This window comes from Homo sapiens, chromosome 1 (assembly GCF_000001405.40).
Source record: "Homo sapiens chromosome 1, GRCh38.p14 Primary Assembly".
Lineage (NCBI taxonomy): Eukaryota > Metazoa > Chordata > Mammalia > Primates > Hominidae > Homo > Homo sapiens.
The window spans coordinates 206679134-206701017 of record NC_000001.11 but is presented as its reverse complement, the minus strand read 5'-3'; the positions used below and the strand labels follow the sequence as shown (position 1 = coordinate 206701017).

General features: G+C 48.9%; 1 protein-coding gene, 2 long non-coding RNA genes and 1 pseudogene across 8 annotated transcripts in view, besides 7 other annotated features; 2 read left to right on the top strand and 2 right to left on the bottom strand.

Annotated features, from left to right (window-relative positions):
* Nucleotides 1–16113, bottom strand: part of MAPKAPK2 (MAPK activated protein kinase 2) — a 49377-nt gene extending 33264 nt beyond the window's left edge. For 3 of the 5 annotated variants that reach the window (NM_004759.5, XM_005273353.4, NM_032960.4), the window contains exon 1: nucleotides 15510–16113. In NM_004759.5, coding sequence (NP_004750.1) covers nucleotides 15510–15788 — 279 coding nt within the window. In that variant the 5' untranslated portion in view covers nucleotides 15789–16113. Of the gene's footprint in view, nucleotides 1–15160; nucleotides 15385–15509 lie in introns of those variants that run through there. The other 2 variants (XM_017002810.2, XM_047434418.1) reach the window with 2 other exon arrangements.
* On the top strand, nucleotides 4716–5236 carry RPS14P1 (ribosomal protein S14 pseudogene 1; annotated as a pseudogene).
* Nucleotides 12385–12946: an enhancer, noted in NCBI's record as "OCT4-NANOG-H3K27ac-H3K4me1 hESC enhancer chr1:206861417-206861978 (GRCh37/hg19 assembly coordinates)". NCBI's record gives its function as "activates a minimal SCP1, AML or CMV promoter by ChIP-STARR-seq in naive and primed H9 embryonic stem cells {active_cell/tissue: H9 hESC(naive and primed)}" and the evidence as "EXISTENCE:reporter gene assay evidence [ECO:0000049][PMID:30033119]".
* Nucleotides 12947–13508: an enhancer, noted in NCBI's record as "OCT4-NANOG-H3K27ac-H3K4me1 hESC enhancer chr1:206860855-206861416 (GRCh37/hg19 assembly coordinates)". NCBI's record gives its function as "activates a minimal SCP1, AML or CMV promoter by ChIP-STARR-seq in naive and primed H9 embryonic stem cells {active_cell/tissue: H9 hESC(naive and primed)}" and the evidence as "EXISTENCE:reporter gene assay evidence [ECO:0000049][PMID:30033119]".
* Nucleotides 14848–14937: a silencer, noted in NCBI's record as "silent region_1764". NCBI's record gives its function as "represses an Ori minimal core promoter by ATAC-STARR-seq in GM12878 lymphoblastoid cells {active_cell/tissue: GM12878}" and the evidence as "EXISTENCE:reporter gene assay evidence [ECO:0000049][PMID:35858748]".
* Nucleotides 15348–15437: a silencer, noted in NCBI's record as "silent region_1763". NCBI's record gives its function as "represses an Ori minimal core promoter by ATAC-STARR-seq in GM12878 lymphoblastoid cells {active_cell/tissue: GM12878}" and the evidence as "EXISTENCE:reporter gene assay evidence [ECO:0000049][PMID:35858748]".
* Nucleotides 15448–15497: a silencer, noted in NCBI's record as "silent region_1762". NCBI's record gives its function as "represses an Ori minimal core promoter by ATAC-STARR-seq in GM12878 lymphoblastoid cells {active_cell/tissue: GM12878}" and the evidence as "EXISTENCE:reporter gene assay evidence [ECO:0000049][PMID:35858748]".
* Nucleotides 15958–16137: a silencer, noted in NCBI's record as "silent region_1761". NCBI's record gives its function as "represses an Ori minimal core promoter by ATAC-STARR-seq in GM12878 lymphoblastoid cells {active_cell/tissue: GM12878}" and the evidence as "EXISTENCE:reporter gene assay evidence [ECO:0000049][PMID:35858748]".
* Nucleotides 16212–18878, top strand: LOC124904495 (uncharacterized). Of its 2 annotated transcripts, XR_007066833.1 has the most exons (3): nucleotides 16212–17277; nucleotides 17475–17667; nucleotides 17908–18878. It is a non-coding gene; the product is annotated as an uncharacterized LOC124904495 (long non-coding RNA). The 2 variants fall into 2 exon arrangements; XR_007066832.1 differs by having other exon boundaries at nucleotides 16212–17667; nucleotides 17908–18249.
* Nucleotides 18030–21177, bottom strand: LOC124904496 (uncharacterized). Its single transcript, XR_007066834.1, has 3 exons — nucleotides 20431–21177; nucleotides 19428–19843; nucleotides 18030–18111 (listed from the first exon to the last, which is right to left on the bottom strand). It is a non-coding gene; the product is annotated as an uncharacterized LOC124904496 (long non-coding RNA).
* Nucleotides 20460–20754: a silencer, noted in NCBI's record as "tiled region #10950; K562 Repressive DNase unmatched - State 5:Enh". NCBI's record gives its function as "represses a minimal TATA promoter and a strong SV40 promoter by Sharpr-MPRA in K562 cells {active_cell/tissue: K562}" and the evidence as "EXISTENCE:reporter gene assay evidence [ECO:0000049][PMID:27701403]".
* Nucleotides 21178–21884: the final 707 nt, after the last annotated feature.

Sequence of the window (21884 nt, the reverse complement as noted above, 5' to 3'; positions counted from 1 at the left end):
ACAGGTACAGGGAACACAGTGCCTAAACAAAAACTCTCACCCCCAAGGACTTTACCCTGTTCTGCCCAGAAACGTAATTAACACCAGCAGCTGTCATCCCATCCTGGGCAGTAGGGCCTGACACCTGGTGCCATTTCCCAGCTTCCCCAGAGCAAGCAGCCCTCGTTCTCAGGGATGACCTACAACATCCCTTAGTTGACTAATGCTGGAGTCTCAAAACTGGTTTGTACTGGAACTTTTGGCTCTACTAGGGTATAGAAGTCCAAGGGAGAGAAATTGAATCTCAAAAGAGGGAAAGAGAGAAAGCAAGCTATGTTTATTCCAGACCTCAAAAGGTTTCATCAGGAAAATAGATCATCTGTACATTTCCAAACACAACTGGCTTCTTGCCCAGCTATAGCACACAGGCCAAAATCAAACCTGACCAAGTACTCCAGATTAACATGTGTGGTCTTCTAGCCTTGATTTCTACCTCCCACTCACATTCTGGGCCCTTTTTTCCCAGCATCTGCCTTGACACAGACACACACTGAACCTACCAACAAGGTGGTTATCTGAGTTGAGAAGTAAGTATTCCCTCAGCCTTCTAAGACACAACACAGACCTGTGCAGCAGCAAAAAATGCCAGGTGGGAATCAGGAACCACCTGTCAAATTTAAACAGCTCTCAGTGTCCAGCGAGAGGAGACCAGCAACCTTCCAGGTGTGAGTGGATGCAACAGCTCTCTCACCTGGAGGACAAAGGAGAGGATTCTCTCTCAAGGTTCCCTCAGTCCAAGCACTGACTACTTCCCTTTGGAGACATAGCTGGCCTGCTGCAGAGACACAACCTCTCAGAGGAAAGGAGAGTGGAAAGTGTGGATGGGAAAGGAAGGACAAAAGAAAAACTACACAGGAAAAGCATTGCAGCGGGAGGGGCAAGAACCACCCATCACAGACCAGATATTCTTTCTGGCATTTTCTGGAAGATGGTTTTACCTGCTTCTTTCTTTATTTAAAAAAAAAAAAAAAAAAAGTAAGAAGAAGAAAGAAAGAGAAAAAAAGAAGAGAGAGAGAGAGAAAGAAACGAAAAGAAAGGAGAAAAGAAAAAGAGAGAGAAAGACAGACAGACATGTTGCAACTTCCTTTGTCACAGGACATGCTCAGGAACAAACAGACCCGACCCATTGCTTCACTTTCCCATCTGCACTAACGGTCAGCTCCATCCCAAGCCCTGACCTCTGTTCTCTCAGCTCCTGAGCTGAAGGACACAAACACGGCCTCCCTGTCTCCCTGCATGCAGTCTGCCCACTCCTTCACCTAGAAGGCTAAACTCAAGAAGGATGAGATTCTTCAGACCAAAAGAGAAGCCATATGAGGGCCCAAAGGAGGATAAAAAGGGCTCTGCCACAGCTTTAGCCCAGCCATTTCTTTTTCTTGCCTCCTTCGTGACTTCTCCTGGCTCTATGTGATGCGTTGGTTCACACCAATCTCAAGCATTGCCTATTACCAGATTCCTGGAGAGGCAGCATCTCTCCCTCCTCAGCCAGACAAAATACGGAGCCCCAGTGGAGTCCCTCACACTTCTCCTTAGAAACCATCCCACTGGACGTATTTTCATCTGCACCCTCCCCTGGCTGTGTCACAGGTATATGTCCATGAAGTATCCTCTGCCCATGCCAGGCAGTGATCCCACCCTCTACTTCCTCCCACCTTGAAGAGCCCATCATGTGTCTCTGCATCCTTTATTGGCCACCCTGGTGCCCAGACACTTACCCCCACCCACTCCCTGAAACTCTTCCTTCAGATACAAAACGAGGAACCACACCATCTGGCCTACAAGGGTCAAATGACAAAAATGCAAGAAATGGTAAGATCTGGATTTTGAGAGGAAGTCCTCTTTCATTCATTTTTATACACACGGGTGTTCGTTCCTCTAAACTGTATGTTTCCAAAGGCAGGGCCTACAACTTATTCATCTCATCGTAGCAATTTGCACAAAATAAGTATCCCATAAATATTGGATAAACTTAAAATTGCTAGGTCATCTAAGTACCCAATTATAATGGAGTCACAAAGGACCATTAGAGAGGCAATACTGTGAGCTGGAGGGAGCCTAGGTTTTAGAGTTAGACACACTTATTAATAAGCCTCAGGCTTTTGCCTTTGCACTTGCTATTCCTCTACCTGGTCCCCCTTCCCACCCCCCAAATAGCTTTTTTGTCTGTTTTATATACTGATGTATATCCAGAGCCCAAGATAATGCTTAGCACTTAGTAGGTGCTCAATAAATAATTGCTAAGGAATTATTCTGTACATGAACATGTTTCTTCTGTAAAATGGGGACTTTCACTTTGCAGTAAAAGGGTTATTTTAAGGATTAACAAGAATGTAAGTAAAACACCTAACACAATGCCTGATACATAGTATCTGCTCAATAAAGACTTGTTATTAATCTGGGAAACCTTCACAGAGTTGCTAAGTTTCCTACAGTGATCTGAATAATAGAAATTTGTTATATTGTATCAAAGTCTATCTGCTGTTTTGAGCTATCCTTAGGGGAGCTGTACAAGTCACTCTTGGCATTGCTAATTAATTTTCTTGAGTAGTAAGTTGCTTTGGATCTCAAGGGTATAGAAGGTACCCACAGGCAAATCCTGCTTAGAAAGGCAGGGGTCTAGTCTAAGCTGCTGGAAGGATCAATGTTCTAAATTCTTCTCATCTCATATAGCAGAGGTATTAAAGGGGTCTAAACCCAAGAGGATGACCCTTGACTGTTCTGCCATTCCAAGCTAATCCTGCCATCTGGGCCTCCTGATGGCCAGTCAGCAGGGAAGACAGGAGGCAGGCATGGAGAACAATAAACATTTATAAACATTGGCTGAATGAATAAAAACACTGCAGCCAGGAAAAAGGTGAAGTAACACTGTCCTGCAGAAACTGAGGACAGAGATGATGGCTCTTAGTCCCCGAGGCTCCCTGGGACCCAGGCCGACCACTTGTTTCCCAGCATCAGGTTATTTTCCCAGCAGTGCGGATGCAACAACAGTGATGAAAGGCTTTCGGTGCAGGAGTCCTTCAAGGTCAAGTCTAGTCCTGTTGATTTACAATGAGGAAACTGAGTGAGGCCCAGACAGGTCCTAGGACTTGCTTGGGGCCACACAGGTAGAGTTAGTAGCCAGGTCTCCCAGATTCCAGTCTAGTGTCAGGTTCTCTTTCTTGTGTAAATCTGTTGTGGCATGGAGTTAAGCAGCCCCATGAGGTTCAAACCTTTGACCTCAGTCCCAGCAACTGGGTACTTGATATAGTTTGGATATTTGGCCCCTCCAAATCTCATGTTGAAGTATGATCCCCAGTGTTGGAGGTGGGGCCCGGTGGGAGATGTTTGGGTCTTGGGGGCAGATCCCTCATGAATGGCTTGGTGCCCTCCTTGTGGCAGTGAGTTCTCGCTCTGAGTTCATAGAAGATCTGGTTGTTAAAAAGAGTCGAGGGCCTCCCCCACCCCCATGCTCCCTCTTCTCGACATGTGACATGCCTGCTCCCCCTTCAACTTCCCCCATGAGCAAAAGCTTCCTGAGGTCCTCACCAGAAGCAGATGCTGGTGCCATGATCCTTGTACAGCCTGCAGAACTGTGAGCAATAAACCTCTTTTCTCTATAAATTACCCAGTCTCAGATACTCCTTTAGTGCAACACAAAATGGACTAATACAGTGTTTAACACTCGTCCCTCTTGCAACACACAGGAGCAGGACCAGCAGATAGAAAACAATGGACTGCATCTGTGTGTCTGTGCCGTGTCTGTAGCTAACTAGAAAATGCCAGGAGCTGTAGGAAAGTTGGCAAGCTCCACATCTGTCCCTCCCTCAGTTAAAGTTCTCCAAAGGGCAAAAGGGTCATCTCCATGACTGAACAGGAATAGGAGGGGCCTTGGAACAGGGAGAAGGAGGAGAGGCATCAATGAGAAACTGTGGTCAGGGTCCTTGTAAGAATGAGAACTCTGTAAGCAGAAATAGAAGGTGCCTGCTTGAGTCAGCAGATCCAAGTGGGTAGAGGGAAGAAATGCTCAGAAGACTAAGAGCAGCTTTTCAGCAGCAGAAGAATGAGAACAGACAATGTGAGAGATCATCACTCTACCCCAGCTCAGTCTCAGAGAGCACAGCCCAGTACTATCCCACTCCCAGGGCTGCCACAGTCCCTGACTCTGAGGATTACCTCTAGTACATCACATTTAATATCGGTGGCATCCACTATTACTCAGTTATCACACCTTTATTCAGCAGCTAAGTATAATGCATATAATGCACAGTGCCAAAATACTCTAGGATTCTTTTTTCAGAGACGGGGTCTCGCTCTGTCACCCAGGCTGGAGTGCACTGACATGATCATAGCTCACTGTAACCGTGACTTCCTGGGCTCAAGTGATCCTCCCACCTCAGCCTCCTGAGTAGCTGAAACTATGGGTATGTGCCACCACAGCTGGCTAACCTTTTTAATTTTTTGTAGAGATGGGGTCTTGTTATGTTGCCCAGGCTGATATCAAACTCCTGAGTTCAAAAGATCCTCCCACTTGTCCTTCCAAAGCACTGAGATTACAGGCGTGAGCCACCATGCCTGGCCTGAGTTTTTTAATGAGGACATACGGTCACTACATGAAAATAAGAGGACACAAAAATAATGAAGATGTAGGTTTTCAGGGGATTTACAGTCCAATCCGATATCTAAAGAGGTGCCTTGCGTTCCTGTGCGGAGTCTGGAAACAACATGCAGAAATGGCACCTTGAAAGGGGAAGGAAAAGAAGGAAGAACAGGTCATCAGCCTCAGACCTCAGGTGGCTGAAGGAGAGAATGTATTTGGTGTCTGCCATATCTTTGCATCCTTCAATGACACTTTTGTCCATGTCACTGATCTTTCTGGCAAAGAAATCATCTGCCGTGTGACTGGTAGGATGAAGGTGAAGGCAGGTGAGATGAATCCTCACCACATGCTGCTATGTTGGCTGCCCGGGATGTGGCCCAGAGCTGGGTATCACTGCCCTACACATCGAACTCCGAGCCATAGGAGGAAGTAGAACCAAGACCCCTGGACCTGGGGCCCAGGTGGCCCTCAGGGCCCTTGCCCGCTCAGGTATGAAGATCGGACAGATTGAGGACGTCACTCCCAACCCCTCTGACAGCACCCGCAGGAAGGGGGGTTGCCATGGTCACTGTGCACAGGACTCCTCAAATATTTTCCGTTAATAAATTACCTTCCTGTTAAAAAAAAAAAGAGAGAGAGAGAGAGATGCCTTGCACATGGAGAAATGCACTTAAACAGAGAAATAAAAGGTAAGAGTGTATCAGCAAGTTTGATGGGGAAGGATGGGAAGACCCACTTTTGGTGCGAAAGGCTCTGGAAAAGCAGCATCTGTGCAGGGTGGAAAAGGTAGATATAGACAGGACGGGGGACAGGCATGGTACAGAGAAGATGCAGATGGATAGATGCTAAGGTGTGGGGGTGGAAAGCACAGTTCTGTTAAAGAAACAACATATATAAGCCACTTAAGCTGGGGAGAAAAAAAAAGCATGTGTTCCAAAAAAAAAAAAAAAAACAGATCAGGGCCAGATCTGGGAAAGATGTGGATATCTCATGTATTCTGCAGGCAGAGAGACCCACTGAAGGGCTTAAGCTGGGAAGCTACATGATCAGAGCTGGGCTCTGGGCAAACTAATCCCCCACTGCACGCCGAAGAATCATGGGGGCAAGACCTTCCTTCCATAGCTGAGGGTTCTCAGAGTTAGCCACATGTTTCAACCACCCATCCCACCCCCTACTACTCTCTATTCCTTCTCTCTCTGGTTACACCTCAAACCTAATTTTATTTTCTTTTAAAGTATCCGAGCCCAGGTAGCCAAATCAAATGCATAAAGTCAGGAAAGTCTGAGACCCAGGAGAGGGGGCACTGCCACCCTTCCTCCTCCTCTCTGTGAGCACAGGTCACTAAAGCACATCAGGGGAAGAGAACACAAAGGGTATGAAGTCACTAAGAGTCGCAGGTGGGCTCTGCTGGAAAGGACATGATGCTCGTGAGCCTGGCAGTCAGAGGGAATGACAGCACTTGGCGTGTCTGCAAGCGCAAGTGTTTCCAGGGCAGGTTACTACATATGCTCATTTTCTCCCTGTGGCCTCCCCATCTGCCAGAGATCTGGGTGCCTGTAAGGATGTAGAAGGTATGGGATGACCCCTTGCTGGGCTGTCCAACTCAGCTGTGCAGCCAGGCTGCTCTGAGCTGCAGGGCACATGCAGCCTCCTCATCAGGTCACCTGCATTCCTAGAATTCTCCAAGTTCCAGACACACGGCCTTTAGTGTCCAGGGCTCTCCCCGCAGGACCCTTTGAGCTCTGCAGAAGCCAAGCATGACGAGCAACCTGCAGATTCCTCACTTAGAGAAGCTAGCCTTCTCCAGCTCCCGTGAAGCCTGGCCTTTAGAATCCTACTAACCTTCTTCTAGGAATCACAGAAGCCAAGGAAGGCAGTCGGGATAGGGAAAGACAGAGGGTATGGCTATTCTGAGGACAGGGGCTCCTTCTGTCAGAGTTAAAAATAAACACTTAGCAACTATGCCCAACTCTTCCTCTGCACAGGCCAATGGGCCTTGGCAGATAAATCTTTCCTTGCAGAGGAAATGTGGCCCCAGGGGAGAGGTGGGAGAAGGAGGCCATCGACACATGGTCAGAGTATGTAACTCTAGCTGAAGGCAGTGGGTTCCTCAAGTCCTATGTCTTGGTTGTCATTGCCATCACTCTCCACCATACACCCCTTCCCCCAAATAAACCATAATTCCTGAAAGCAGACATAGAGCCCTCCTAGGCCACGATTAGTATCAACACCTGTCTAGGGATTAGAAAAAATCAGAAAGAATACTAACGCCACGCTGAAGAACAGAATGCCAATGTCAGACTCTGCCCAGTATCTATCAGCTAAGCAAATATTCTAGCTACCTGAGCCCCTTTCCTCATCTTGCTCCACAAGTCTCCAGGATCCCTGGGGAGTAGAGGAAGAGGCCACACCTCCATGGACACACATCAATACTGCAGTCAAGAGGTAGAAGAAACCCATGCACTCGGTGACATTCTGCATGTGGCTGAGCTGGAAGGGCCAGAGGTGCCATGGCCTGACTCAGGAAGGAGATCCTGAGAGCCAGGGCCCAGTTATTCTTGGACGCTGACAAGATGAGGTCACACTTTTGAATGTGGTAGCCCAAAGCCTCACACTGCGGAGGTGGAGAATATAACGTAGCAACAGGGCAGGAGTACACGGTAGGTAGCATGCTCGGTGACAGGGCAGTCGGGTTGAAGGCCTGGGGCAGACTGCCCATGTGGGGCTGTCCTAGCATATAACTATGGTAACTCTGTTACCATAACCAGGTAACTCTGGCAAAGAGGCCTGCTTGGAGGTAAAACTGGAGGAAGCCAGGGCTGGAGGCGAGCACAGTAGAAGGTCTGATCCACTCTGATGAGCTTGGTCACTCTCCTTTTTGTCTAACCCTTTCCCTACTGGGAAATAAGCAGGACAGCTTCACGGAGCTTTCATACACACAAATCTAGACACCTGGAGACATAAAAACCATAGCACGTCTCCCAGCACTCAGAAGAGTGAGTTAGCCCCAAATCACCTACCAAGCTCAGGCTGGAAGAGAAAGGGGCAAGCAGGGAGAATATCAGCAGAAAGTGAGAGAAACAGGTCAGCGGTGTGGCAGGAAGCACTGGGACAGCTAACAGGGCCTGGCTGTGAGGGGAGACTGCAGCAGTGGCAGGTTTATTTTTAGCTGTTCGGCAGAGGGGCTGAGTAACAGTTCTGGGCCCTGGGCAGGAGGCCAGGCTGCTAAGGTCCGGTGTGTACTGAGAGCCTCCTAACAATGTGGATCATTAAAATGGCAGCAAACGAACAACTCGATCTTCTCCCTGTAGACAAGCAGGAGGATAAGGAGCCCCGCCGGAGGACGAAAGTGGAGGAGTCGGCAGGGGGACAGTCAGTAGATCTCCTGTTCAGCCCCTCCCCTCAGAGAGACTTCACCTTTGCTTCTGGTTCAAAAGAATCTTCATGGAGATGAGCCAGAGAGAAGGCATCAACAGTACAGCTCCCTCAGCTCCCTCATATGCTCTGAAACAGAAAAGGCTCCCATCGGGTGGCCACTAGCTTCCGCCTCTGGCCACCACTCTTCACCTCTAAGATGAGTCCTGGATGGACACTGGCCACAGAGATGCTTGGAAACGTCCCTCAAGAATAAGATGCCCTTTCATATGACCCTTTTGGAGGGCTCAGGTTCCCAGCAGAATGAGCGCACAGCTTGGCTGGTCTTGGAGGAGAACACCAGATACAAATATGGGCTGACCTTGGGGCCTTGTCCCAGCTCATTCTGGCACACAGAGGTGTTTACTGATCAGACAATAAAGACCCCAAGAACCTTTCACTGCCAGAGGCCCAGCCCAACTTTATGTCTCCTTCTACTGTGGCTTTCTTCCTCCTCCCACCAAACCTGATGGCCCAGCACACAGGACCCCACAGTCTAAACCTCCGGGGCTGAAACAGCTGCTCTAGCCTTGCATGGGCAGGAAGAGGAGGAAAGAGAACAGACATCACCAGGCAACCCCTTTTCCTCCTGCTTCCTTGGATTCCTGATATCTCTTCTTACTCAGCCTGGTCTGAGGGGCTGAGGGTCACCTGAATGTAAATCCTAATTTCCTCATCAGCTCTGTGAATCAGTCCCCAACTCTAACCTAAGAACAACCCCTAATCCATAACCATACCTTTGGTGAATTAGAAGGCACTCCTTTGAAAGAACCCAGCCACACACAAAGACAAAGCCAAGCAAGGAGACAGTGGCTGGACTTCAGCCTTCGCTTAGCTCCTCAACCAGATCCCTGTGCACAGGGAACAGCCTGCACCAGAAATCACAGTGGCCCTCAAATGCCCCATAACTTGAGAAAGGAATCTCAAACAGGGAATAGAGTTCCTCATCTCTACTTTGCACCACCACTACACTATGATTCTTCTGATTTTAAGGAAAGAGAAGATGCACACCCTGCTAAATTACGTAGTCTATCCTCTCTGCCGAGTCACCAGCATAGAACACTTTCTAAGTCTTCACACAAGAGAAGGAGCAGCTGGTCAGTGATGATTATTCATTAACTGGACACAGGCTGCCCTGGAGCCAGGCACTAAGCTTACGAAAGGGCATCTGTGCTGACCCAGATACTGCTGATGGTCAGACCCGGAGCAAGTCAGCAAGCTATCCTGCCTGCCCTCCACCTCTGGCCTGCAGCACCGCCTTCTACTGCCTCACCCTGCCGGTGCTCAGGAGCTGCTCGAGCCGACCCTCTGTGCAATGAGGCCTGGAAAGTTTAGCTGACCTATTCAAGGTCATGTAACTTGTTAGCAGCATACAAACACTGGAAGCTTTCTATTTATGTATGCACTTATTTTTGCTTTCTTATCTAGCACATAACCCATGGTAACAAGCTCATCTCTACATATCTATATCTGTGTATGTGTGTATATATATATATATATATATATCTTAAAATACAAAATACCAGTATTTTCCTAAAAACTAGAAAAGGTACACAGCAATCTGATTTGGGTTCTATAACTGCCATACGTTATTACACTGTCCAGTGACATGGCCCCTTCTCTTCACCAATGCCCCCATTTACAAGGTAACCCATGTGGAAAGATCCTAGCTGATGCGTTAGTGGAGCTCAGTTTTGCTCCACCAGGTCTACAGTCTTCTAGCAACCAAAAACCAAAGGGGCCCAGACCAAGAGCAGGTCCCAGGGAACCAGGTCTCAAGATGTGGCTCGGATGCTGACACCATGTAAGACCTTGGACATGCCACTGAACATTTCTGCACTAGGCCAGCTTCTTCCTCAGTGATGTGCAAGGAGTCAAGAAAGATGACCAGGGAGTGTGGGTTCTAAGTTACTATGAAGTGTGGGTTGCTTTGCCACTGGGCCTCAAACCATTACCAAGAAAAGCTGCAGTCCCTGCAAAGAACAACTCTTCTCTGCCCATCCACCTCCCTCCAGGACACAGAACCATCTGGAAAGATACAGTGCAGGGAAGAGGGGGAAAAGAGACCTCACATGACACTTGGCAGGGCCTGAAGTAGAGGAAAGGTAGGAGAATAGAGTGAATCCTGCACCACAGACATCACGCCACCAGGAAGAACCCCAGCTCAGAGCATGGCAAGGCTGCTTGGGAACTGGGCAATGGCTCAGATGCAGACGACTGTGCCCTGCTCTTCCCCATCTTGGCTGACATTCCTCCTGGCACCCACTCAGCACACTCCTGGGCTCTGGCTAACAGGAGCTTTGGCCCCTCCCCTAGCCCAAGGATTAAGTTTGCCTCCAGCAGTTCTGAGGCTGGGCTCTTCCAGGCCCTCCTCCCAATCCCCTGTACCTGCTTCATAAGAAAAATCATCAATTATGGATGGCCCAACCTCTCAGGTCCCAAGTAGCAGAAACATCACAGGTCCCAATACCTTCCTCCTCCCACAAAGGGGTTCTTTTGTTTCCTAGACACCCACCAATATTTGGCCCTAAGGCCCAGGGACTGCTTGTCTCTCCCCTCCTGTCAGCCACTGATCCCGTATCTTAGCTGGAGATTGTCTCCAAGCTCAGTCAAAGCCCAGAATTCACAAGTAAAAAAGGACAGTGAGCTGACCCAGCTTCAATCTTGCCTCAGTGGATGCCAAGGGCCCTGCTGCAGGAGCCAGGGGTCAGGGCTGGGGTCAGGGCTACGGCCAGGAGGGACAGGATCTCTGAAACCACAAACCTGACCCTTCCCTCATAATTCTGTAAGCCCATCTTCAATGATTCCTAACCTTTTTTGACACCTTCATGCCCCTCAAACACTTTAAAGCCTGCTTTGACACAAGATGAGTTAGCTTCAATTTGGAGCCACCAACCCCTGACCACTCTGACCTCCTGTTCCTCCCCTCAGTTCTAGCCAGGCCAATGTCACCACACCTCTCACAGACTTGCTCACTCCTCAGAGGCACAGCCATGTCCCACTGACCCCAGCTGGAGCCTCCCTTAGCTCCTGGAGTCACCACAGATTCCCCTCTTTCAAAGCTCCTCTATTCCCAGCCACACGATTTAGCTCCCAGACCAACAAAGTCTAGGAGAACGTTCTGCAAGGATGAAAATGTTCTTCTGCATTGTTCAATTCGATAGCCATTAGCCACATGTTTACTGAACACTTGAAGTGTGGCTAGCAACTGATTTTTCAAATTTAATTTAGTTTAATCCATTCATGTTAATTAATTTTAATTTAATTAGCTATGTGAGGGTAGTGGCTACCAGATTGGACAGTGCAGCCCTAGCCTACATGTGTTAATTTCACCTTCTCTAAATAAGTTTCTTGACTCAAAATTTTACAGGCCATTTTTTACATGTGTATCCTCCATGCAACTAAGCTTATGATAGATATTCAGCAAACTGTTACCTACCTGTAACCATATTGCATATAAAAGAGGCTGGCTTGGTCAATGAAATTTTCCTAACCTTGTGACAACTCCAGCAAACTCCAGTTTGGGACACTGCCTCTCACCTAGCCACACTAACTGTCTTGCCCTCCACAGGTACACAGTATGAGGTGTGTTGGAAAGGAGATGGTGCCTGTACTGTGGGGATGTGGGAGCTCTGGCATTTCCCTCCAACAGCATCCAGAATAATCATGAGAGGCTCCAATCATCTCCCCTTCACCAGAACAAAGGAAGCCACATCGCAGTGGCACTTCCATGACCTAGGGAGAGAGGAATGCTGGAGAAAGGAAAGGAAAAGAAACTACAGGACCTTGTTTTCTCTAATCCACGCAATGGAAAGATACACAGAGATAAGTTACGACAACATTCTATATTTTATAAAGCAGTAACATGCTTCACCTAATCAGAGTTGCACAGCAGAGAACAACGATACAGTCTTTAATTAAATTTGTTGAGCTAACACCTAAGGGTCACCATGACACAGTGAAGCGGCAAGCAGCTGAGGAACCCTCCCGGGGAATACAACTAATTAATACACAAGTGGGTTGAGACTAGGTGTCCTTATCAAAGAAGTAATACAGGCCGGGCGCGGTAGCTCACACCTGTAATCCCAGCACTTAGGCAGGCTGAGGCAGGCAGATCACGAGGTCAGGAGATCAAGACCATCCTGAATAACACAGTGAAACCCCATCTCTACTAAAAATACAAAAAATTAGCCGGGCATGGTGACGGGCGCCTGTAGTCCCAGCTACTCAGGAGGCTGAGGCAGAATGGCGTGGACCTGGGAAGCAGAGCTTGCAGTGAGCCAAGATCGTGCTACTGCACTCTAACCTGGGCGACAGAGCAACACTCTGTCTCAAAAAAAATAAAAATAAAAATAATAGAATTCCCATGTTCTTGTACAAAAAATAGTAAGTAAGGTGCCTATCAAATACTCTCTTAAAAGGGGGAGGGAGTGGTTAAAAAAATGCATGAAGCTACTGTTGAAGTTCCCCTCCAACTTTGGGGACTGTTCTCAGGAGCAGCAAATACCCATCCAGCCCCCTTCGCTGACCTCCCCTCTTGTCAGTCAGGGCCTGAGGTGACAGAACAGCTCCTCAGGCTGGAAGCACCCTGGAGCAGCAGGTGGCCATGTGCCTGAGCCCGTGGCTCAGTTAGGAAGTAAGTGGGAAGAAGCCTGAGACTGGGAGTCAGGCAACCTGGGTTCCAATCCTGCCTCTGCCAAGTGAATGGCTATGGTACCTTGAACAAGTCACTCCCTCACTCTGGGCCTTGGTTTTCTCTTCTGCAAAATAAGGGGGCTGGACAAAATGACCTTTCAAGTCCCTTGCAACTCTGACTGGAAGCATGACTCAGAACTTAGCAAAAGCAGCCAGGAGAGATGGTGAGGTGAGGTCAAAGCACCCACCAAAAGCATTTAAATGGGAGCTCTCTGAGGTGGAGGGAGAGAAGCAGCAGGGTGAGCTGGGACTCTTTTTCAAATGCTGATTTCACTTAACAGGGCTAAGAGGTCACCGACTATAGGCAGAGAGGAGAGCATCTAAGCAGCTGCCAGCTCCCATCAACTCTCAGGGCTGCAACATAGCAGACTTCTGAACCCCAGCAGAGGCTGGGCTCCTGCCCTCCAGCTCTGCCCTAGCCCCCAGCATTGGCCTCGGCACACTGTAGAATAGAGGTCTCCTCCCCTTTTCTCAGGCACCTTCCCAAGGGGGTAATCCCTCTTGCCCCACTCCATCTTCCTCTCCTGCTTTATAATCACTAGACTTCTGGTTTTGAAAACCATTTCACTACTCAGCACCTGAGGTTAATCAAAATTCAAGATCTAGAAATCTCTTTGGTGTGTGTCTCTGGAACAGCGTTCTTTGAACCAGATTCCCCCCACAGCTGTAATTATGTCTCAGCCAATATTTGGATATGGAAGTGCTGTTAACACTGCTGTCAGTCTCCAAATGCCTTGTCTCTCCTTTCTTCCTCCATTATTAAGTTTTAACACAAAGACGTGTGTGGGAAATCCACAATTTAACAGTTGAGTCAACTTAAAAGATCTGGGAGCAGGCTGCCTGTCAAAACAGACTGACTTCACTCTTCGCCCACTTCTAACCTGAGAGGGATAAACTATGAGTGTTATTTAACACGCTGCTGGATTTTTCCTTCCAAAACTATTCAAAGTAGAAAAATATGTAAACCTCTCTCTCGTTAGTTACAAGAGAAATCTGAATTGCCACTCAAAAGCATTTTATAGGATGATTTTGTGCGTGTGTCTATTAAACAGAATACAGAGCAGAAGTTGGGAGCTTTTGTTCTGAAGTCTTTACATAATATTCCAAATATCCAAGAGAATGAACAGCCAGTGTCCCCAAACTACTAATGGGTGAAGGCAGATGGTGTCTCAGAGGGGACAGCAAACACTCCTGTAAAGACCGTCTGTCACTTCCTCAATGATACAGGTTAACTGTGGTCAAACTGTATTCACCCAACTCCAGTCCCCAAGGTCAGAGCCATGCTCAATCCAAACAACTCCTCCTCCTCCTTTCCCTTCAGTTATGAGTAGGGAAAGAGAAGTCTAAGACACAAATGTTGAAGTGTTGAAGATACTTATCCCCTCTCCAACAGTCAACACTAAACAACAACCGAGATCCCAGAGCAATAACTTACAGTAGAAAGCAAAGCACTGTAACAGGGTTGAGTATGAGAGCAGCAGGAAAACAATTCTAGAGGCCTTAAAATCTAGAAATGGAACATGCTTGCCCCGTACAACCCCGAAGTACTGGTGTTTCTTTTAAAACATCTGATCGTATATTCCAATAGTTCCACCCATACCACATTTCTGAGTTTTGTACTTGACAACTGAAATACAGCTCGCTGTGGGGGCTGAAGGGGAAGAGAAAAATATAACACAGGAAGTATTTTTCTCCTCCTCCAATCATTGAGACACCCCAGGGGAAACAGACCTGAGGCGTCACCTTTAGAGATTGGTTTGACCTGAAACCCCTGTGAGAGGAAAACCTTGTTGGTGACCCTGCAAGACCGGCTCACACTTCACTGCGGACCCACCCATCTCATGAGACCTCCCAGTCCATTGTGTTTAACTTCTGAAGTCGATATTCTCACTTGAATCCTTATTCTCCCCACCACCACACCCCTTAAAGAAAGAAAAGGGATGGGCTCCCCCGGCTCAAGGATAATGTTTCCTCAGACTGCCCATCACGGCGCGAGTCCAGGACAGCAAGTGGCCCTCTCTAGGAGGCGGAATCAGCACGGGCCCGGCCGCGGGTTACAGACTCTGTTCACAATGATCAGCCGGGCCGCGGACACCGCCGGCCTCTCCCCGGAGCCGCCCCGCGCGGGCGTGGGAGGGGGCCAGCTGAGGGGGCCAGCTCCGGGATCCAAATAATCCCGCCCCCGCAGCCGGGGGACACCCAGGACCCTCCCGCCGCACACCTCCTGCCCGGCGCGCCCCAAGGCGGCCCGGCTGCCCTCGCGAGGCTCGGGGAAGTGAAATCACACATTCCGGCTCCCAAATAAGGAGCGAGGCTAAATAAACCTCTGCGATCCGACTTCTCCAAACCAACCGACCAACCGGCTCAATGAGTAATGGGCCTTTTGTGCCCGCAGAGAGAGAAAAAGGAGGGAGGAGAGGACGGGGAACCACCAACCCCAAAATCACTTCCTTGAGATGGAGTGAAATTAGCAGAAGTCCCGAAGCCAACCGTTCTGACTCGGCTGGATCCCGCTCAAACCCCAAAATGGCAGGGTCCCCTGAGTCCCCAGGAGCGGGTCCCAGGGCTCCCGCCCGGGAGCGGCCGGAAGCGGTCAGGGAGGCGAGGGCGCTGGGACCCGCCGCCCGCGCCGCACTCGGCACCGCCGGCCCGGCCGCCCCGCCCCGCCCCGCCGCGGCCACCCCTCCGCCCCGCGCCGCGACCCAGGCCGGGACGGGCACCCGACGCCGTGGAGCTCCAGGGCCCGGGACCGGCCCCGCCTCCCCTCCCCGGGCCCCAGACCTACTTTGAGGGCGAATTTCTCCTGGGTCCTCTTGTTGAAGATCTGCAAAACTTTGCCGTTGATGCCCAGCCCCAGGACCTGGCTGGTGACCTTGTAGTCATCGATGATGGCGTTCTTCTTGATCTGCAGGCCGGACTTGACGTGGAACTGCGGGAACTGCTGCGGGGGCGGCGGCGGCGGCTGCGCCGGGGGGTGCGGCAGGGCAGGGGTGGGGGGCTGCGGCGGCGGGGCCGGGGCGGGGAACGGCACCGGCGGGCTCTGGCCCTGGGAGTTGGACAGCATGGTGCCCGGGGACGCCGGGGCACAGGCGGGGGTGCCCGCGGCCGCCCCCTCCTCCGGCTCCGGGCCCCCTCCCCGCCGCCCCCCGACGGGCTGCGAAGTTCGCTCCGGGCTGGAGCCGGCTTCCCCGACCCGGCCCGGCTCCAGGCTCGGCGGGTCGCGGGGCTCCGTGGGTCCCACCGCGCGCCGCTGGCTCCCACCGGCCCGGCGCCCTCCCTCCCTCCCCCCGGGGGCCTGGCGCTCTGGGGACCGCGGGGCGGCGGGGGCCCGGCCGGGGGGAAGCGGCCGCGCGACAATGTACCCAGCCCCGGGCCGGCGGCCGCGTCACAGCCTCGTCTGCGTCCGGGGCCGGTCCTTAAAGGGGAGGGGCGGGGGGCGGGGCCTGGGGAGGCGTGGCGTGGGGGGAGGGGCGGGCCTTAAAGGGGAGGACGCGCGGTGCCGGGAGCTGGGAGGATCGCGGAGTAGGCTGGGGGCTGCTGCCTCGCGGACAGTGAGAGGGGACAGGGAGAGGGGACGAAGAAATGCTAGTTCTTAACCAAGGCTATGCAAAGGGAGAGGGGAGGCGTGTCAAAGGAGCTGCATAATTCAGATGGAAAATCCACTCCTCTCCAATTGTCTGGGCTTCTTAGCGGCAGCGAATTGGGAGAGGGGTGTATTTCCAAGGACAGGGATGGCTTGTAGGTATCCAGCTAGATGAGACCTCGTGGGGGTGGGGGGGAGCTGGAATCACAGGGGTCATTCATCCCAGGAAAAGGTGTGAGCCAAAGGCGGGCGTATTAAATATTTCCCTAACTTCAACATTTTCCTCTGAGGTTTTTTGCATCTCTTTTCTCATTAATTTATTGTTTTTCAGTAAAGACGTATTATTGTGTAACCAGGAGCACTTTAGTAATTATACCTTTGAACATGTTTTCCTGTAAATAAACTAAAAAGGATACAGGGTGGGAAGAGGATGGGTTGAGATTGGGGCCACCTGAATTCCCGCCATCCTTTGCCACGGATTGGCTGTGTGAGGCTGAGCAAGCCTTGCACCTCTCTCTCCGTGGGAAGAACAGCGAGACCTTTTCAAAGGTTGTGGGCAGAGTCAAAGGAGATAATGAAACTGAAGGGGAGGCCCTGGGGAATGGCTTCTGATTTCCGATGTGGAAAAATTAATCCGTAAGAAGTGGGTTAGCCCCGTGTATCTCAGGAAAAGCCCAGGGATCTAGCTGGACCCTGCATAGAAGCTGCCAGGAGGCCTCCACACACATTCTGATGGGGTTCGAGATGACCAAGTACATTCCTGCCGACCTCCTCCCACCTCTGACTGGCAGAACATTTGAGAAATGGCAAGCAACCCAGACAGGTGAACACAAAACCTCAGCTTAAGTCTTGGTAAGGCCAGTTAGAGAATGAGGCTTGACCTATGGCCACACATGCCCCCTAATAGGTCCCCCAAAACTCCAGAGAGAAGACAACACCCCCAGAAGTGGCCACTGGGGATAGAACTTAGGTAGGTAAGGGACAAGTGCAAATGTCTCTTCCCTCATTCACCTTTCCCAGAAGATGCTTGTGGAGGCAGGAATGAGGGGGAGGAGTGAGGGGTGGGAGTTACCCTCCCAACACTGTCCTTTCCTGGGGCAGGTAGGGCTCTGTGGACCAAGGAGAGACATGTTTCCCCCGACACAAACATATGCTCTTCTCAAGCAGCATCTGCTTAGCTCCATGTACAAGGTGCCGTGCTCAGCCCTGCAGCGGTGGATGGTGTTATCTGATGGGGAAGAAGACAGATAACAGTGGCACAGAGAGGATGGCAGACACCTTCCTAGGAGCCCGAAGCACAGGGATTCTCTTCTGTCTACAGCAGCCAGCAGCTTCCTCCCGAGTCTACAGGATAGATACGGTTAGACAGCTCCCCAGATGCCCCTGACTCTTCAAAGACAAAGACACTATCTAAGGCCACGGGGATAGGAAAACATCTTCACTCCACTACTTCTATAGCACTGCTATCACCTCCCCGAAGCACACACAGGAGATGCCCAAGGACAAGAGGAACGCAGGGGTGGGAAGGTGGAAGGCTCCAACTGCTCAGGCTCTGGTGGGGCTGCTCTGGAGTCTGAGTTGGTCTTTTTTTTCTTTGCAGAGTCACTGGAAGCTCCCTATGGCTTGGTGTTGAGGTATCACCTGCTTTTCTCCACAAAGCTAGAAAGAGAATAACTTCCTTCTGCCTTTTCAGAGGCAGCAAGGCACAGTGGTAAGATGACAGGATCTAGAGACAAATGAGCTGAAGCCAAGACTGTCCTCCAACTGGGTTACCTTGAGCAAGACATGTAACATCTCTCAGCATCTGAAAAAGAAAAGAAAAAAACAACAAAATCTACTTTCGGGGCTGAGAGAGAATAAAATGAAATAGTAATTATGAGAACACATCCTAAAGCATAAACTATACATTATCATGAAATATTAAATATCACCATTATTTAGACATTGCTGGCTTGCTCCTCTGCTCTGTGCTCATGGCCTACGGATCTATTCCTGATATCAAAGCTGCTTTCCTACCTAGCTGGAGCTCCAGGGAGATGGTGAGGCCCAATGATCTAGGAATAACAGGACAACTGAATTCCCACCTGAGAGTCCTCCCGGAGCTGCAAGAGCCAAATAGGCCTAGGGGGCACACAGGGACTCTGAGGGTACATACATAGTGGATAGAGATTATATGAACTGCACACACAGCACCAGAAAACACACACATATATGAACACAACACATGAGCACAATGTGCCATGTAACAGAATAAACGCCTAGTGGATGAATAATTGAGGAGTAAGATGTGCTAAATGCAGAAGCACTGGCCAAGAGATCCTGAGTCTTAAGTTCCATTCTGATACTGACTCGCTATGTAACCTCATGAGAGCCCCTTGCTCTCTCAGTTCCTTCCTTCTCATCTGCAAAATAGTGACAATAACATCTGCCTTGCCTACTTTGTAGGGCTTGTGCAAGGATAAAATAAAAACTTTCCTACAGGAAGCAGTCCAAAGTCCTATTTGTGTAACACCAGGCTCTTAGCCATCTGTAATGAACTACTTAATAAACAGTTTTTATGGATGTGTAAAAGCGCTTTAAAACTTGAAAGTCTATGCAAATAGAAAGTACTATTTTTATCTACTATTAACATGCAAACACATATGCCATGCAATATAGTACACACAAAGACAATTTAAGGACCTCAGGTACATAGAAATGGATTAATTATAATCCTTGATTCATGACACACTCTCGTCATTGGATCATTGATCCATGCAGCTCCACTTTTATTGTTAGTTAATAATTATTTTTAATAATGCAGTAAGCACCTGTGAATCCACTACCCAAAATAAAAACTAGAACTTCGACAATAATTTACATCTAACTAGATGATTCCTCCACACACACTCCCCCAACCCCTCCATTTTCATGGCCCAAGACCCCATCATCCTGAGTCCTATGTTCACCTTTCCCTTGCTTTCCTTTTTATATAGTTTTGTTTCATGAAGGCATGTTCAAAGGTATCATAAAAGATGAAACTCAAATCACCTTAAAAGGGAGGTGGCCAAGGGTGATGTTAGCAGCAAGACCAGGTTAAAATAAGAAAATGCCTTGTCACAGTTTCAAAGTATTCCTCACCTTCTCATGATGATGGTGATGATGATGTTGATGATGATGATGATGATGACGATGACAATGTTTTTTGAGTGCTTCCTGAGTGCCCAACACTGTGCTCAACCCTCTACCTGCATTGTCTCATTTAAATCTCATGATGATCCGTGGCTGAGATTGCTAGTTGGGTGGGCTAACACCTTTTTTTCCTCTCTTTGATAGTAAAGAGCACCCCATATTTAGCTAAGCACAAGACTGCCTGGAATAAAAATTACATTTCCCACTTGAGCAGCCTCCACTATAGCCGGTTACATTCATAAGATTAAGTTATAACCAATGACTTGTAAGTGGAAGTGGTTTATGGAAAGAAGTATGTCCTTCTTCTTCTCCTTCTCTTTTTTCTTTCCTGCTGACTGGAATAAAAATTTCACAGCTGTAGCCATCTTGGATGGTGAATTGGAGGTTACAGGTTGAGGAAGACAGAACAAAAGGACAGAAAGAGTCTGTATACTGGTGAACCTGGATCCATCATATCAGCAATGAGCCACCTACCCAGACTTTTATATGAAAGAACAATAAATGGCCTTCTTGTTGAAGTGACTGATGGTCTAGGTTTTCTATCATTCACAGCCAAACCTTATCCTACTCTTACACAGCCCTATGAGGTCTGTACTGTTATCCTCACTTATCTGTTGTATAAACAAGAAAACTGAGTCCCAGAGAAATTAAATAACTTTCTCAGAGTCATTCCACTAGCGAAGGACAGGACCCAAATCTTTCTGACCCAAAGTCCATGCTCATGGTCCTTACTATAGATCCTGAGCAGACATATACTCACATATCCTTCTTAATGTCAGAAATATGATATCTGCTATTTCTGGGCAGGAATTGCCTGAAGAGGTATGGGCTATTCTTTCCATTTTAGAGCAACATAAATTTTCCACACCTCAATTTCCTTCCATCTTGGCCTAATCTGTTACAGAATATAGGTCTATGTTAATTTGCATGACTGGGTTATATGATAGGATACATTGTGACAATCTTTTTCTTCAAGATTCCCCCACACAGCCTTCACACCATCATGGAGTAAAAGTTTCCTGTTTTACTATGACGTGGCATTATGAATGAGTGACAGAGGGTGGAAATTTATGGAGGTGGATCTCTTGGAAATTTTCAGCTAACACTCTCTTGATGAGTGAGGATCATCCACAGGCTGGCGGATCTGCGCATGAACACAGATAAAGCAGCCTTTGTATCCACTGCTAGTACCGCAAACAAAATATTGCAAGAAGGAGCATGATTTACAGAAGAAGCTCTGTCCACTAAAAACCCACTCTTGGAAAGAAAAATGGCTTAGAGCCAGAGAGAAATAGTCTTCATGTCATAGGCTAGTATTTCTGTGATAAAATGAGAAATTCCCCCAAAGCAAAAGTGACAGATATATATACATAAGACTCAGTCACAAAAATTTCTGACCCAGAAAATGACCTCAAAATATTGGTCAGGATGGCCTCTATCATCCCTTCTATCTTAGCTCTTTCTGAAGGTGTTAACGGCTGCCTCACAGAAAGGAATTCTACCCATAGCAAGTGCCATTGGTAATGCCCTAGTTAAGACATCCCAGAGGGGAAAAATCCTTCCCCCACCCACGGTGCCCTTGGTGCCCTCCGTGCCCTCATCTGCACTTCATCCTTTGATAGTTTAATGCCACGGCAGGGAACAGCTGGGGCAGTGGCAAAGAATGCGAATAGAAAGAGAAAGAAGGAAGTACCCAAAGGGGAACAGAAACTTCACCTCTGCACATCAACAGACATAATATGGTCCAAAGGGACTACAAATGAGAGTAATTAGGACTACAGTATGCCTAATTCTTTTTTTTTTTTTTTTTTGAGATGGAGTCTTGCTTTGTTGCCCAGGCTGGAGTGCAATGACACGATCTTGGCTCACTGCAACCTCCGTCTCCCGAGTTCAAGCAATTCTCCTGGCTCAGCCTCCCGAGTAGCTGGGATTACAGGCAACTGCCACTACACCTGGCTAATTTTTGTATTTTTAGTAGAGACGGGGTTTCACCATGTTGATCAGGCTGTTCTCGAACTCCTGACCTCAGGTGATCCGCCCGCCTTGGTCTCCTAAAGTGCTGGGATTACAGGCGTGAGCCACCACACCTGGCCAGGATGTCTAATGCTAAATCCACAGTTTACAATGGGAAATGTAGGGAAGAGAGGCAAATATCCACCTGTATTCAAGAAGGCTTCCAAGGCTGTTGTCCTTGTATTAAAAGCATTGCCCTCCAACCTAGCTTATATCTGGCATATCAGTTGCTACTTAGATGAGTAACAGCCTGGACAATGATTGGGAAAGGAGGAGAGGAAAGGGGGAACTATCTAGGAACACAATCAAGGTGGGTCAACCAAAAGGATCATCAGGTTCTTACCTGGTGACCTGGTGATGCCTGGATTTTTCTCCCTTGCTTAAGATAAGTAA